The sequence below is a fragment of the Homo sapiens genome, chromosome 3 (assembly GCF_000001405.40).
Source record: "Homo sapiens chromosome 3, GRCh38.p14 Primary Assembly".
Lineage (NCBI taxonomy): Eukaryota > Metazoa > Chordata > Mammalia > Primates > Hominidae > Homo > Homo sapiens.
In genome coordinates, this window is record NC_000003.12 from 42,011,337 (window position 1) to 42,025,440 (window position 14,104).

The 14,104-nt window shown below is 45.6% G+C and overlaps 1 protein-coding gene and 1 long non-coding RNA gene across 5 annotated transcripts in view, besides 8 other annotated features; one reads left to right on the plus strand and one right to left on the minus strand.

The window, feature by feature from the left end:
- Positions 1-681: 681 nt before the first annotated feature.
- Positions 682-2,233, minus strand: LOC107986077 (uncharacterized). The gene is made up of 2 exons (XR_001740668.2): positions 2,088-2,233; positions 682-1,626 (listed from the first exon to the last, which is right to left on the minus strand). It is a non-coding gene; the product is annotated as an uncharacterized LOC107986077 (long non-coding RNA).
- Positions 1,757-14,104, plus strand: part of TRAK1 (trafficking kinesin protein 1) — a 212,798-nt gene continuing 200,450 nt past the window's right edge. For 3 of the 4 annotated variants that reach the window (XM_017005909.2, XM_047447722.1, XM_017005911.2), the window contains exon 1: positions 2,296-2,781. The gene's annotated coding sequence lies outside the window, so the exon portion shown is untranslated. Of the gene's footprint in view, positions 2,080-2,295; positions 2,782-14,104 lie in introns of those variants that run through there. The other variant, XM_047447718.1, reaches the window with a different exon arrangement.
- Positions 1,916-1,985: an enhancer, noted in NCBI's record as "active region_19728". NCBI's record gives its function as "activates an Ori minimal core promoter by ATAC-STARR-seq in GM12878 lymphoblastoid cells {active_cell/tissue: GM12878}" and the evidence as "EXISTENCE:reporter gene assay evidence [ECO:0000049][PMID:35858748]".
- Positions 2,166-2,285: a silencer, noted in NCBI's record as "silent region_14239". NCBI's record gives its function as "represses an Ori minimal core promoter by ATAC-STARR-seq in GM12878 lymphoblastoid cells {active_cell/tissue: GM12878}" and the evidence as "EXISTENCE:reporter gene assay evidence [ECO:0000049][PMID:35858748]".
- Positions 2,376-2,445: a silencer, noted in NCBI's record as "silent region_14240". NCBI's record gives its function as "represses an Ori minimal core promoter by ATAC-STARR-seq in GM12878 lymphoblastoid cells {active_cell/tissue: GM12878}" and the evidence as "EXISTENCE:reporter gene assay evidence [ECO:0000049][PMID:35858748]".
- Positions 2,486-2,645: a silencer, noted in NCBI's record as "silent region_14241". NCBI's record gives its function as "represses an Ori minimal core promoter by ATAC-STARR-seq in GM12878 lymphoblastoid cells {active_cell/tissue: GM12878}" and the evidence as "EXISTENCE:reporter gene assay evidence [ECO:0000049][PMID:35858748]".
- Positions 2,706-2,775: a silencer, noted in NCBI's record as "silent region_14242". NCBI's record gives its function as "represses an Ori minimal core promoter by ATAC-STARR-seq in GM12878 lymphoblastoid cells {active_cell/tissue: GM12878}" and the evidence as "EXISTENCE:reporter gene assay evidence [ECO:0000049][PMID:35858748]".
- Positions 2,966-3,105: an enhancer, noted in NCBI's record as "active region_19729". NCBI's record gives its function as "activates an Ori minimal core promoter by ATAC-STARR-seq in GM12878 lymphoblastoid cells {active_cell/tissue: GM12878}" and the evidence as "EXISTENCE:reporter gene assay evidence [ECO:0000049][PMID:35858748]".
- Positions 3,499-4,000: an enhancer, noted in NCBI's record as "H3K4me1 hESC enhancer chr3:42056327-42056828 (GRCh37/hg19 assembly coordinates)". NCBI's record gives its function as "activates a minimal SCP1, AML or CMV promoter by ChIP-STARR-seq in primed H9 embryonic stem cells {active_cell/tissue: H9 hESC(primed)}" and the evidence as "EXISTENCE:reporter gene assay evidence [ECO:0000049][PMID:30033119]".
- Positions 13,002-13,920: an enhancer, noted in NCBI's record as "H3K27ac-H3K4me1 hESC enhancer chr3:42065830-42066748 (GRCh37/hg19 assembly coordinates)". NCBI's record gives its function as "activates a minimal SCP1, AML or CMV promoter by ChIP-STARR-seq in primed H9 embryonic stem cells {active_cell/tissue: H9 hESC(primed)}" and the evidence as "EXISTENCE:reporter gene assay evidence [ECO:0000049][PMID:30033119]".

Here is a 14,104-nt window from a genome sequence, read left to right on the forward strand (position 1 = left end):
TTTGTAATTAAAAATGATTTTTTTTGTAATTAAAAATTGCATTGAGATAATGGTAGATTCACATTCATTTCTAAGAAATAATATATTTGGGCCAGGTGCGGTGGCTCATGCCTGTAATCCCAGCACTTTGGGAGGCTGGGGCAGGTGGATCACCTGAGGTCAGGAGCTCGAGACCAGCCTGACCAACATGGTGAAACCCCATCCCTACTAAAAATGCAAAAATTAGCCAGGCATGGTGGTGCACGCCTGTAATCCCAGCTACTCAGGAGGCTGAGGCAGGAGAATTCCCTGAACCTGGGAGGTGGAGGTTGCAGTGAACTGAGATTGTGCCATTGCACTCCAGGCTGGGCAACAAGAGCAAAACTCCGTCTTGGGAAAAAAAAAATACACACACACACACACATATATATATTTGGCCTAGTTTCCCCCAATGACAACATTTGCAAAACCTTAATATGATATCATAACTAGGATATTGACATTGATACAATTTACCTATCTTATTCAGATTTTCCCAGTTTTACTTGTACTCATTTGTGTGTATATTAAGTTCTAGATAATTTTATCACCTGTACTACCATACTCAAGATGTTTAACAGTTCCAAATTCACAAGGATCCCTTGTGTTGCCCTTTTATATCATACCTGCTTTCTTTCCACCTTACTTCATTCCCCAACTTGATGGATTTTTCCAAATCTTTTTATTTGGAAATAAGTTCAAACTTACAGAAATGTTCAAGTACACTCTATATGCTGATTCACTGATAATATGCACCTTACCTTTATTGCCCACTTGGCTTTATCATTTTTTCCTATCAAGATTTTTTTTCCCCTGAATCATTTGAAGGTAAGCTGCATACATTATGACCTTTACCCTTTCAAGATACTTTAGTGTGTATTTCCCAAGAATTAGATATTCTTGTACATAATTACAGTGGAAGTTATCAACATCAGTACATTTAACATTGATCCAATACTTTAATCTCTTACATGGATTCTGATTTTGTCAGCTGGAATGTCCGTGATGTATTTCCCCTCCTCTAGCACAGGATGCAGTCTAGGATCAGGCATGGCATTTAGCTGCCCTGACTCTTTTGCACCCTTTAATCTGGAACATTTCCCAAGCTTTCTTTTGATTTTAATGACCTTGACATTTTTGAATAATACAGACCCTTCCTCTTTTTAATAGATGTTCCTCATTTTGGGTTTGTCCGATGTTTCACTATCATGATTCAGGTTATGCATTGTCCCCAGGAATACTGCATAGCTGATGTGGACATGATATCCATCTGCTCTCATTGGTGATGTAAATTTTGATCACCTGGTTAAGATGCTGTCTGCCTGCCTCTTTGTATAGTTACTATTTCCGCTTTTGCTACTAACAGGTCTAAACCATCTATGGGGAGACACATCAACCCAGACAAATATCTGCCAGCCAGTAACAGCCCCCTAGAGTAAGCATTCATGGATGATTCTTGCCTGAGCCAATCTTCACTATACACTTGATGATCTCTTCAAGTCAAGTCTATGCCAGTATGAGAAATCAGGTTTTGCAGGGTTTAGTTTCCTTACACCTTTGGTTCTGGTCTGAGTCTTCTTCAAGTCCTCCCAATGTCCTCTATGACCCCTGGGTTGAAAAGAAGTAGACTCAGTAGCCTCAACTGGAAATGAGATCATGTGGGTTGTTCCCTGTTAAACCGTCCACAAGTGATTTGCATAATAGAGTGGCCTGTGAGCTCTTACTTCCTGGATCGGTTCCTGATCCCCTCTCTGCTGTCCGCCAGCCCCCTGCCTGTCACCCTTTGGTGGCATCTTAGTCCAACAGCCAGTTCCATCCCCTCCAGCCTTCCCCCCGTCCCCGGCTCCATCCTCCCTCCATTTAAGCCTAAGGGCGGCTTTGCTAGGAGACAGCCCGCCCTGCAGGAACAGAACGCCTGGACTTCCACTGTGTTCACGACAATCAGCGCCCCGGGCCGCGGGGGTCCCATCCTTCTCTTAGACTGACTCTGGAAGGACCCCGAGAAGTGCTAGAAGTAAATAAGCGCTCGGGGAGGGATGTGATCAGCTTTTCCGGATCCAGGTCTTTACCGGATACTTCTCTGTGCCCCACGGCGTGGGTAAAAGTGCAGGGGCAGCCGCGGGCGAGGAAGGCGGGGCGCGGCTCCAGGCGACTAGGACGTGGCCGGCGGGCATCCTGGAGGGCGGCCCGCAGGTGGCGGCGCGGGGCGGCGGGCGGGGCTGGGAAGGGGGAGGGCTCGGCGCGCGTCGGGCGGTGACGGCAGCGCGGAGGGGAGGTGCAAGCCGCCCGCTCGCGGGGGAGCCATGGCGAGAGGCCGCGCGGCGGCGCCCGCAACAGTGCCCGCGTCCGCAGCAGCGCCCCCGCCCGCCGCCCCGGGGCCCACCCGGCCGCCGCCCCCGCGCGCCCCGAGCCCTTGACGCCCGCGCGCCTCAAGCGAGGCGTCCCCCAGAGTGGGGCCGCGCGCGGGAGAGCCGGAGCGCAGCCTTAGCGTCCCCGAGAGTCTCGAACGCCCCGACGACCCCCGCGTCTCGGAACCCCGGACTCCGAGCCCAGGAGCGCCAGAGCGGCAGGCGGGCAGCAGGAGGCGGCGGCGCCAGAGCGGAGCCCCCGCGAGTGCCCCCGTGCCGCCCGGCCGGCTGCAGCGGAGGGAACCGAAGCCGCCGGGCGGCCGGGGCCGGGCCGAGAACGACGCGGAGGAAGCCCCCACCGAGGCCCCCCGGCACCGCGCCTGCTGCCGGGTTGCGCTCCGTGCACCTCTTGCGGGTAAGCCAGGGGTCCGCTCACCCGCGCCGCCTGCGCCTCGGGCCCAGGGGCTGGGGAAGGACACGGGTGTTCTGGGAGTGTCCGCGTGAGATAGTGGCGGCGTGAGAGGCCGGGCGCCGGGACCCTGCGGGGACAGCCCTCCTAATGCACCGGCCGCACCTGCAGGAGGCCCTCGGAGCCCGGAAAAGTGCCCCTAGGGCATCGTGTCGGCCACGCCGCGTGGCCTGGATTCCGCGCTCCGGCACTCCGAGGTGACAGTGAGGCGACCTTCAAAGAGCCTGGAGCTGAGCGCGGGCAGCACCCCGATTCCCACTCACCCGCAAAACTTGATGAAAATGACATCATCTGAGCGTGTCAGAGAGCAGAGAGCCTTTAGAGCCCTCCTTTGCATCCTTGAGAGTTAACAAGTTTACTTTGTCACTTTCTTGACCTGATTTTTAAAGTTCTTTTCTAGTCTCCAAGGTCAAGCTCTTGCAGGTAAAAACAAATGTAATGAACTGTATCGTTTCTTCTTTTGTAAAGTTGTGTTTCAGGAAAGATGTTAAAAGTCGGCCTGCTCTTGAGGCTGGTGCTGGGTGCCCCTTCCGCTTTAAGCTTGCCTGTTTTAGAACCCGTGGCTGCACTTGTTCAGACACTGAAATTAGCGTCCGCTTTGAGAGCCTTCAGAGTATTCGTCGTTGGACCGCTGATTTTTTTTTTTTTCTGATATGCTTCACTGGAACTTTATTTGCTTCAAAAGTGTAAACGTTGTCAATACTGTCTGTGAGTGTGTATTCGGGACTGGTAACCTTTTCTGGAGGGTCTTTTGTTTATCTGGAAGGAGAGTGGAGGTTACCATAGGGAAACGGTCTAGTTCCAGGGTCCTTTCCAATTTCCAACTACAAGAGCAGCGAAGAGGAAGGTGCTCAGACTAAGCTCTGATTAGCCCTGGAGCCAGTCTGCACTGGGGAGGGTCTCCCCAGATTGAGTGAAGGGACAACAGGCTGGGAGCTTGACTGGTAGGTTTGGAGAGTTGGACCTGGAGTGACAGATGGCGCCTTCCCCTCTGTCTCTCGGTTTGGAATGGTCATACTCGGTTGCTCTTTGATCTTGGACCTCAGCTTTGTCACAGAGGTTCCCAGCCCAGTGTAGCCTAAGCCAGCTGGAAAGCTGAGCCCGGCTCTGGGGGATGCTGAATCGGTTTAAAGCCCTTGTCTCAGGGCTGCGAGTTTGGCAACAGTTGGGTTTCAGCTTGGCCCCAGCACCAGCCGTTTCCTGTTTGATGCCCCAGGGACCAGTTTCCCATCCCCAGCGCTCGCTTGAGGGTGTCTCCACTCTGGCTGTGTTGCTTCTCCTTCTCTGTGGTCTTGGAGTGGGAAACCTGGACTGAAATTCCAACTCCTCTCTATTGGCTGTGTGACCTTACTTAACCTCTCTGTCCTGCTCTCCCCTCTCTGGGAGACAATGTTTTAAATGGAGGTGTCTGTAAAAGTTTGACTGAATGACATGGGAGCGTTTTCAGGTCTCCTTCCAACATGATTGGGTTTGTAATTTGGTAAGCTTTTTGAGCCCCAACAGGGATAATAAAGCATATAATAGTAATTATTGTTTTATAGGTTTATTATGAGGGTCAAATCAGGTAATATAAAAGAGCTTTGGGCCGGGCATGGTGACTTGTGCGTGTATTCCCAGCATTTTGGGAGGCTGAGGCAGGTGGATCACTTAAGGTCAGGAGTTCGAGACCAGCCTGGCCAACATGGTGAAACCCCGTCTCTACTAAAAATACAAAAATTAGCTGGGCATGATGATGGGCACCTGTAATCCCAGCTACTAAGGAGGGTGAGTCAGGAGAATAGCTTGAATCCGGGAGGCAGAGGTTTCATTGAGCCAAGATCCCGCCACTGCACTTCAGCCAGGGCGACAGAGCAAGACCCCATCTCAAAAACAAAAACAAAAACAAAAAACATAAAAATAAAAGGGCTTTCAAAAATAATAGAGCACTATTCACATTGAATGGAGTTCTTAAACTTTCACTTTCCAAACTAACAACACCTTAAGGTTTGCCATCTTAAGTGGACTTTGTTCCTGTCATTGCATTCTGGTTTTTTGTTTTTTTTTTTCTTTTTGAGTCAGAGTGTCGCTCTGTCATCGAGGCTAGAGTGCAGTGGTGCGATCTTGGCTCACTGCGGCCTCCACCTCACAGGTTCAAGTGATTCTTTGGCCTCAGCCTCCCGAGTAGCTGGGATTGCAGGCACCTGCCACCACGCCCAGCTAATTTTTGTATTTTTAGTAGAGACGGGGTTTCACCACTTTGGCCAGGCTGGTCTCAAACTCTTGACCTCGAGTGATCTGCTGGCCATGACCTCCCAAAGTGCTGGGATTATAGGCGCAAGCCACCACTCCCAGTCCCTGTCGTTGCATTCTGAGTCCCTGCCTCTGACCTTGTATATAGTAGGCCTCTGTAATTGTTTGGTGATTCTTGAATTAACCATCTGGGCTCTCCATCTTGACTTCGTGCTCCCAAGGTAGAGAACAGACCTTGGGCATTCTCCTCTCCGTCAGCTGTCGGAGTTTTTATAGATGCGATTGTTCTGTAGCACCATATAGCTCATAAGAGAGCCAAGGAGAGTAAGCAGATAGGTGGCCAGTTTTTCTGCAAGGGACAGTTCTTTTTTTACCCTTTGGGGCTCAAGTAAGAAAGGCATTGGAGGGCGAACAGTCATTTAAACTCACTGAGAGTTGCAGATATTCAGTAAAGCCTTTTGTGCATGCCAGAGCTTAATACTGTATGGTCGGGAAGTTTGATAAACTTTAAAGTACCATGACCAGCCTCTTCACATATATGATTCTGTGACCCTTGGTTTTGAAAATGGACTCTGACCACTGGCTGCGGTGGCTCACACCTGTAATCCTAGCACTTTGGGAGGCCAAGGCAGGTGGATTGCCTGAGCTCAGGAGTTCGAGACCAGCCTGGGCAACATGGTGAAACCCCGTCTCTACTAAAACACAAAAAAAGTAGCCGGGCGTGGCAGCATGCGTGTGTAATCCCAGCGACGTGGGAGGCTGAGGTAGGAGAATTGCTTGAACCCAGGAGGTGGAGGTTGCAGTGAGCCAAGATTGTGCCATTGCACTCCTGCCTGGGCGACAGAGTGAGACTCTGTCTCAAAAACAAAACAAAACAAAAGAAAATGGACTCAGATTTATTTAACTCATCTATATTTGGCATGCACTGTGATTTTTGTAGGGAAAGACAAGAGGATGTTCTTTTTAAAAGATGGAGATAGAACCCAAGGGCTTATGTGGGTTCTTAGGTTTTATTTTATTCTTGGACAGAGATACACTGTTGTTAGACAGAGATACACTGTTGAATGAATGGGTCTTCTGGCTTCTCACCTCCTTTTCCCCCCTTCTTTTCAAACAAATGTTCCCTATTCTGACTTGTCTTCTTAGATGTATCTAAGTGGAGGCCACTTGCAGTGTTGAAAAGTGCAAATTTTAGTGAAGAGACAGTAAATAATTGCATATGTGTAAAACTGGATGTCTCCTGAGTTACACAGAATACCAATGATGTTGAGCTGCTTAAAGGCTATGATAGGCATTTTATGAAAGGCTGTGTAGTATGATTCATTATAGTGAGAAATTTATTTAATTATTATTGTTAATAGTGCACCTGAGGTGAAACAGGGTGGAATGGGGTGGGAGGGGAGCTCTTGAAATCCTTGTTTGGACTTAATTTTTTTGTTTTCAAAATTTATTATTTTTATTTTACAGTGCTGTTCCTTGCAGAGCAGGGCTAACTCATAGGCAGTGTGCCTGTAGGCAGCCTGTTTGGACTTCCTTAAACACTTTTTTTTTCTTAAATAGAGACAGGTTCTTGCTATGTAACAGGTGAAGCTGGGAATAGCCCTTCCTAGAATGCTGAGGTGGGAGGATCACTTGAGCCCAGGAGTTCGAGACCAGCCTGGGCAACATAGTGAGACCTCATTGTTACAAAAAAAAAAAAAAAAAAGACAAAAGAAAAATTAGTCAGGTGTGGTGATGTGCACCTGTAGTTCCAGCTACTAGGGAGGCTGAGGTGGGAGAATCTCTTGAGCCCAAGAGATTGAGGCTGCAGTGAGCCATTATTGCACCATTGTACTCTAGCCTAGGTGACAGAGCGAGACCCCATCTAAAAAAAAAAAAAAATATTGCTGTCTGAGTCAAAAAGTGCTCTTAAGGAAAATGTACCTTGTTTTCCCTGAGGTTCTGGGGAATCCCCAGCATAAGCACATGTACCCCAGTTTGGGAATCGTGGAGCTGGATTATTTCTAGGGTCTCCTCTAGTTCCAGGACATTCAACAGGAGAGGATAGTCTATCCAGAGGAAGTGGATTTTGTACTAACATCCGACAAGGATGCTCCATCACAGTATAAATTATCCACATTTGAATGTTAAATAAGACCATGCTGTGGGTACTCAGGTGACTTTAAAAATCTTTTTTTTCTTTTAAGAAGTAGGAGAAAATAACTGTGAACATGTGGACTAAGTGGCTTGACATTTTCGAAAAGTATCTCTTTAGCATACTATTCAGAGCACTTATTGCATTCCTCCTTAATGACTAGAATTAGTTACTAGATAACATGATTATGTTGATTAAAAGATGTCACCGTCTACTAATTTATGTTGATACAGATGAACTATTAGCAAATCCTATCTTCCGTTACATAGATGCAGGTTGATTTATGTCACTTAAAATGCATATTAATGGCTGAGTGTGGTGGCTTACGCCTATAATCCCAGCACTTTGGGAGGTGGAGGCAGGTGGATTGCGAGGTCATGAGATCGAGACCATCCTGGCCAACATGGTGAAACCCCGTCTCTATTAAAAATACAAAAATTAGCTGGGCGTGCTGGTGGACGCCTGTAATCCCAGCTACTCGGGAGGCTGAGGAAGGAGAATGGCTTGAACCCGGGAAGTGGAGGTTGCATTGAGCCAAGATCGCACTACTGCACTCCAGCCTGGCAACAGAGTATTAAAAAAGAAAAAGAAAAAGAAAAAAAAAGCATATTAATTAGAATAGGGATATAGGATCTCACTTTTTTTTGTCTCTCTCCAGGATTACAGAGATAAAGCATTTATGCATATACAGAACCACGGGATTTTAGAAGTTGTCCATCAGTTCCTCTGGTTGTTTTGGTACAATAAAAAAGTGCTTTTTTTAGAGATAGAATCTCTGTTGCCTGGGCTGAAGTGCAGTGGCCTGATCATAGCTCACTGTAACCTTGAACTCCTGGACTCAAGCCATCTTCCCGCTTTGGCTTCCTGAGTAGCATGCGTGCTGCCACACTTGGCTAATTTTCTTTTCTTTTTTAAATTTTTTTGTAGAGGTGAGGTCTTGCTATGTTGCCCAGGCTGCCTTAGCTTCAAGCGATCCTTCTGCCTTGGCCTCCCGAAGTACTGGGATTACAAGCATGAGCCACTGTACCTGGCCAGGCAGTTCTTTAACATAAACAACGTGTGCTGTGGGTCTGGATTTTTTTTATGCTAACATTCTGTAAGCTCTCAGTTTTTAAGTTTTGCAAAATGTAGAACATATATGATACAACCTACTCTAGATACACAGCCTCTAGTGTAGGCTGCCTCCTTTTATTATGGGTTTCTATCAAATAATTTCCAGTTTGAGATTTGAGATGTGACCAAAGATAAAATGTCTCCTTATAATGTTAGAAGTGGTTTGGCTTCAGCTGTATTATTGAGTCAGGAATTTGGACCTTTAGGAGCAGGTAAACAATGAGAGCAGAAACTACCCTTGAATTTATGTTTGTCTGAGGACCATTGGGAAATATTTCTTGGAGAGTGGGGAAGACAAATTCCTTTGACCTCCAGAAGAATTGATTGTCCTCAGTGTGATGAGAAAATCAGGGAGAGAGTGACTGAAGACAGCTCAGCTGTTCATGCCAAAGGGACTGACGGTCCAGATTCATGGTGGAACCAGGTGGCCGTGTTCTGGCTGGAGAACAGCAGTGGGAAGAGGACAATGCTCACGAGAGGGACAATGCTGTCTCGGTTTCTGCCTGACTTTTGGTTGCTACTGTGTTCTGTGGAACAAATATTTTATATCATGTTGCATTACCATCTAAGGTTGACAAGTTAACTAGAACCTTTAATTTCTTACGCATTGAACCTTTAATTATCTTAGCTCCATTAATTTTACTTACATATACCACTTGTACTGCCAGTAACTCCTTGTAGATAACCACTCTTGTGACCTCTATTACCATAGGATAATTGTGCCTGTTTTGGGCTTCATGTAAATTGAGTCATATAGTGTGTACTTTTGTGTCTGGTCTTTTGCTCAATGTTTTGTCTGCAATGTTCATCCATTTGTTGCATGTACTAGTGCTTCATTCCTTTTTAGTGTGGGATGGTATTCCATTTTATGGTTATATCATGATTTGTTCATACATTTACCTGTGGATGGACATTTGTTTTTTTTCCAGTTGGGACTATCATGGATAAAGCTGCTATGAACTAAGTGTATAAGTACTCATTTCTATCGGGTATATGCTCAGGAGTGGATCATTGGGTCATAAGACATATGTTCAGCTTTAGTAAAAATTAAGTTTTCCAAGTGTTCATTCTTCTCTGGATTTGGTATATGAGACTTCCAGAAGAAAAAAAGATAACTCTGTAAAAGAGTATGCTACATCTTGTGTTTCTGAATACAGGGCTCCCACAGTAAACTTGGTTTGCCTGTTGGACTTCCAGTTGGGGAGTTTGGTAATCTGATATCTTAAGAGATCTAGTAAGACAGTTATAGTATCAAGGGGCATTTTTTACTTAGTGTGAGATCCAGAGGTGTGGGCCTTGCCTGCACTGAAGAATTTCAAACCTGGGAAGAAAATTGGAGGTTTACTTAAACTAAAGGGACAGATTCTTGTCATGTTCGGAAGTTGGAATTGGCAAGCTTTATACTGGAGAATTAAAAACTCAAAACAAACAAAAAACCAAACCTATGATTCAGGAATAGCATTATAATGATTTAGAGGAAAGGTGGGGAGGAGGAAAATGAGCAATTTGTTATGTGTATGACTCACTGGTGCTGTGTCTGCGAGTATTACATTTGGGTGCAGAATTTCTGAGACAATTGGTTTACTGGCTTTCTTAGTAGAGAATAAAAGAGTGTCACCTAGACAGTGAGCATTTCATTTCAACCTTTGCATCTAGAATATATTTTAAATAAAATGCAGAATACTATGGGAATTGTACAGTTGTACAATTGCTTTATGTACCTGAGTGGGAAGTAGCTTTGTTTTCATTCATTAATTAAAAAGTAAAAACCTTCAGATTGAACAGTGTAGATACAATGCAGCACAGCATTGATGTGTTTGAAGCCATGTTCTTTTTTCCCCTGTAAGATTGTTGCTTAGGTGTGTTGAACCCAGCAACTCCTGTTTATGACAGGCAGCTTCGGAATCATTACCTTATATGATAACCTCATACAGTTATTATTTTTTTGAAATGGAGTCTCACTCTGTTGCCCAGGCTGAAATGCAGTGGCACGATCTTGCCTCCCTTCAACCTCCGTCTCCCTGGTTCAAGCAATTCTCCTGCGTCAGCCTCCTAAGTAGCTGGGATTACAGGTGTGTGCCACCACACCTGGCTAATTTTTGTATTTTTAGTAGAGACGGGTTTTACTGTGTTGGCCAGACTGGTCTCGAACTCCTGGTCAGTTATCCACCTGCCTCGGCCTCCCAAAGTGCTGGGATTCTATAGGTGTGAGCCACTGCGCCTGGCCCTCATACAGTTATTAAGAGGATTATGTGAATTTATACATGTGCTTGGCTAAGAGGAAGCATTTGTGTTAGCCATAATTATTGTTTTTACTGAACTCCTTATGATCCATTCATCCAAAAATAGTTTGGAACAGGTATTCTGTGCCACACCTCAAGGGTGGGGTGTGCCCTGGACTTGCTCTGTATGACAGTAACAGGAATAGCCCCCATGGCCTAAAGCATTGATGTGAGCTGTGGTTTTTGCTCACCCATCAACTAGCTTCTCTGCTTTGACTTTGAGGAGAAAGGGTTAATTTTTCAGTGGTCCCAAGGCATTAGAAGAATTGCTTTGGATTCGAATATCAAGACATTCCAAAGGTCTCTTGTGGAAGAAACATAGTTTGGTGTTATATATTTGGGAAAACATCTTTCTATTTGAGAAAACAAGCAGATTGTTATTATTACAGCAGTGGATAAAAGGTGTGACAGGCAAATCATTGGTAAAATAGACTAAAACGTTGACTGCTGCAGTAGATGTTTTATACTGTATTTGAAAGATAGGAAAGTAGTTAGTCTTGTTAAATAACTGGCCGGGTGTAGCAGCTCACGCCTGTAATGCCAGCACTTTGGGAGGCCAAGGCGGGTGGATTGCTTTAGCCCAAGAGTTGGAGACCAGCCTGGGCAATATGGTGAAACCCCATCTCTACAAAACGTACTAAAATTAGCTGGGCATGGTGGTGTGCCCCAGTAGTCCCAGCTGTCTGGGAAGTTGAAGCAGAAGGATCGCTTGAGCCCAGGAGGCAGAGGTTGCAGTGAGCCATGATTACACCATTGTACTCCGGCCTAGGCAATGGAAAGAGACCCTGTTTTAAAAAAAAAAAAACAAAAACAAAAAACTTTTGTACAAGAGGAATATTTTCACAACAATTGAGTGTTAACTTGCAAAACTTTTAGCTGGGGTAAGTCTCTTGATGGTATAGTAGAAGTGATACTCATGGAAAGGAATAAAGAAAATAAATATTCCTGGCCAGGCGCAGTGGCTCACACCTGTAATCCCAGCACTTTGGGAGGCTGAGGCTGGCGGATCACGAGGTCAGGAGTTGGAGACGATCCTGGCTAACACGGTGAAACCCTGTCTCCACTAAAAATACAAAAAATTAGCTGGACGTGGTGGTGGGCACCTGTAGTCCCAGCTACTCAGGAGGCTGAGGCAGGAGAATGGCGTGAACACGGGAGGCAGAGGTTGCAGTGAGCCGAGATTGCGCCACTACACTCCAGCCTGGGCGACAGAGCGAGACTGCATCTCAAAAAAAAAAAAAAAAACAACAAAAAGAAAATAAATATTCCTGGGAGTTTGGCTATCTTTTAATGTAGTTTTTGTTCTTTATAGTATACTGAATTCTCTGTTTGGCAAAAGGCAGCATGGCAGATTGATCATCACAAGCAAGTTTGAGAATTTCCCTCACAAACTCAAGTTGCATCCACATTAGGTCACTAGGGCGGAAAAGAGATGCAGTCTGTAGATGTTCCAAAGAGAAGGCCCATGGCAGGGTTGGGTGGCATTAGGAGTGGTGGCTGGCTTTACTTTGGTAAACGTGTCCTAGGCCGTATGTGATCCTAGACCTTATCTTACCTCCATGATGACTGAGACCCAGCTGGAAGCTCTGGCTGTACTCAAGGTGAGAGAGGGTGGGGGTTAGCGAGTGATAGTGTGGGTAGATGTTTAAGAGATAAGCCTTTGTTGTTGAAGAGATAGTGGTAGGGTAAGGGAGGGGGCGGAGTGAAGGATAAGGCTGAGGTTTCTGAGTTGGACCACCATTAATCAGTTGTCCCAGCGGTGAGGACCTGGAGGGTCTTGTTTTGAATGTGCTGAGTTTGACGTGCTCGTGAGGGTTTTTTTTTTTTTTTTTTTTTTTTTTTGAGACGGAATCTCACTCTATTGTCCAGGCTGGAGTGCAGTGGCACAGTCTTGGCTCACTGCAGCCTCCGTCTCCCGGGTTCAAGCAATTCTCCTGCCTCAGCCTCCCGAGTATCTGGGGATTACAGGCGCCTGCCACCACGCCTGGCTAATTTTTATATTTTTAGTAGGGATGGGGTTTCGCCATGTTGGCCAGGCTGGTCTCGAATTCCTGACCTCAGGTGATTCGCCCTCCTTGGCCCCCCAAAGTGCTGGGATTACAGGCGTGAGCCACCGTGACCGGCTACTCCTGAGATTTCTAAGTGGAGATGTTTAGGGCAGTGGGACGTCTGGGCCTGACACTTCGAAGAGGGATAGGAGTTTGAGGCAAGGGTTTGGGGACCATTCCTGTGTAGTGATATCCATGTGTAGGAGAACTCACAGAGGAGTAGTGACTAGAGATTGGGAGAAGACCAGAATTGCTGGGGGAGGGAGTGTTCTTTTGGTGAAGGGTAGGGTTCACAGGGTTACTCTGCTGTGAGAGGCCAAGTGAGATAGAAGCTAAAATATCTTTTGGGTTTGTTTATACATAGTAGGTATGCAGATATTTCTAGTTGTATCATTTGGTTCTTTGTTTTTCAGAAGAGATGCTGGCTTAGCCTTGTAAACATCGCAGTTGCATAAAAGTATTTATGATAGTCCTTAAAATGCTGTAATTATCTTTGAAGTTTTATAATTTTGCAGTGTTTAACTTATGGCAGCAATAGCATTGGTATTTTAAATCAAAACAGAACACTGTCAAGGGTTACATAACTTATTCATGATATTAACAAGATATAAAGCACCATGTTTTTGTGTGTAACTGTTTAACAGTAGATGAAGTTAATGATTGCCCACTTTCAGCTAATCATATGATTGCTATTGAAATAAGTACTTGCTAGACAGGGATAGAATCTAGTAATTTGTTAGCTTCAGTACTTCATGCTTGCATACACACCCATGCTATTGTGTTACCAAGCCTGAGTTTTGAAATGTGGCGTTCTTTGTCTTTTTCTGGTGAATAAACCCCATACGTCTTACCATAGCCATTTGACTCTTCCTGGCTGTCAGGATGTGTTGCCCTGGACTGAGAGTGAGAGATCCCAGATTTTTCAGCTTCTCTTCCAATTGCTAGGGATACCACATCAGTGCCAACGTGAGTCTCCTCTTGTCACTTTCTGCTAGGCTTCCCCTTAGAAGCTGAAATTCTTTCCCTTCCTGATGCTAAGTTGCAGTTTCTTAAAATGCTAGAGAGCTTTTAAAAGCATACCGTGATGGGAATTAGTTTCAAAAGATTATACCAGAGGGGGTTAAAACTTGCCAACCTTGTAAAAACCTAACTTCTTTGTTTACGTCCTCCCTGCCCCGCTTTCTGCTGTGCTTGGTTTCCTCCTAGCAATATGCCTTGGTCAGGGGGAGAGTCTTCCTGTCAGACATAACTTCCCAGACCAGCACTCCTGGAGGGGCCTGTACCTCAGACCCTGGCAACGAGGCACGCTGGGGCACGCTGGCCTTTCGTTGTGGTGTAGAAAATTTTTCATTTGGAATTCCATTTTAAAAATAAGTATAGGGTTATTTATATCTTCTTACATTAATTTTGATAAGTTGTGTATTTTAAGGGCTTTATCCACTTTATCTAAGCTACTGAATTAA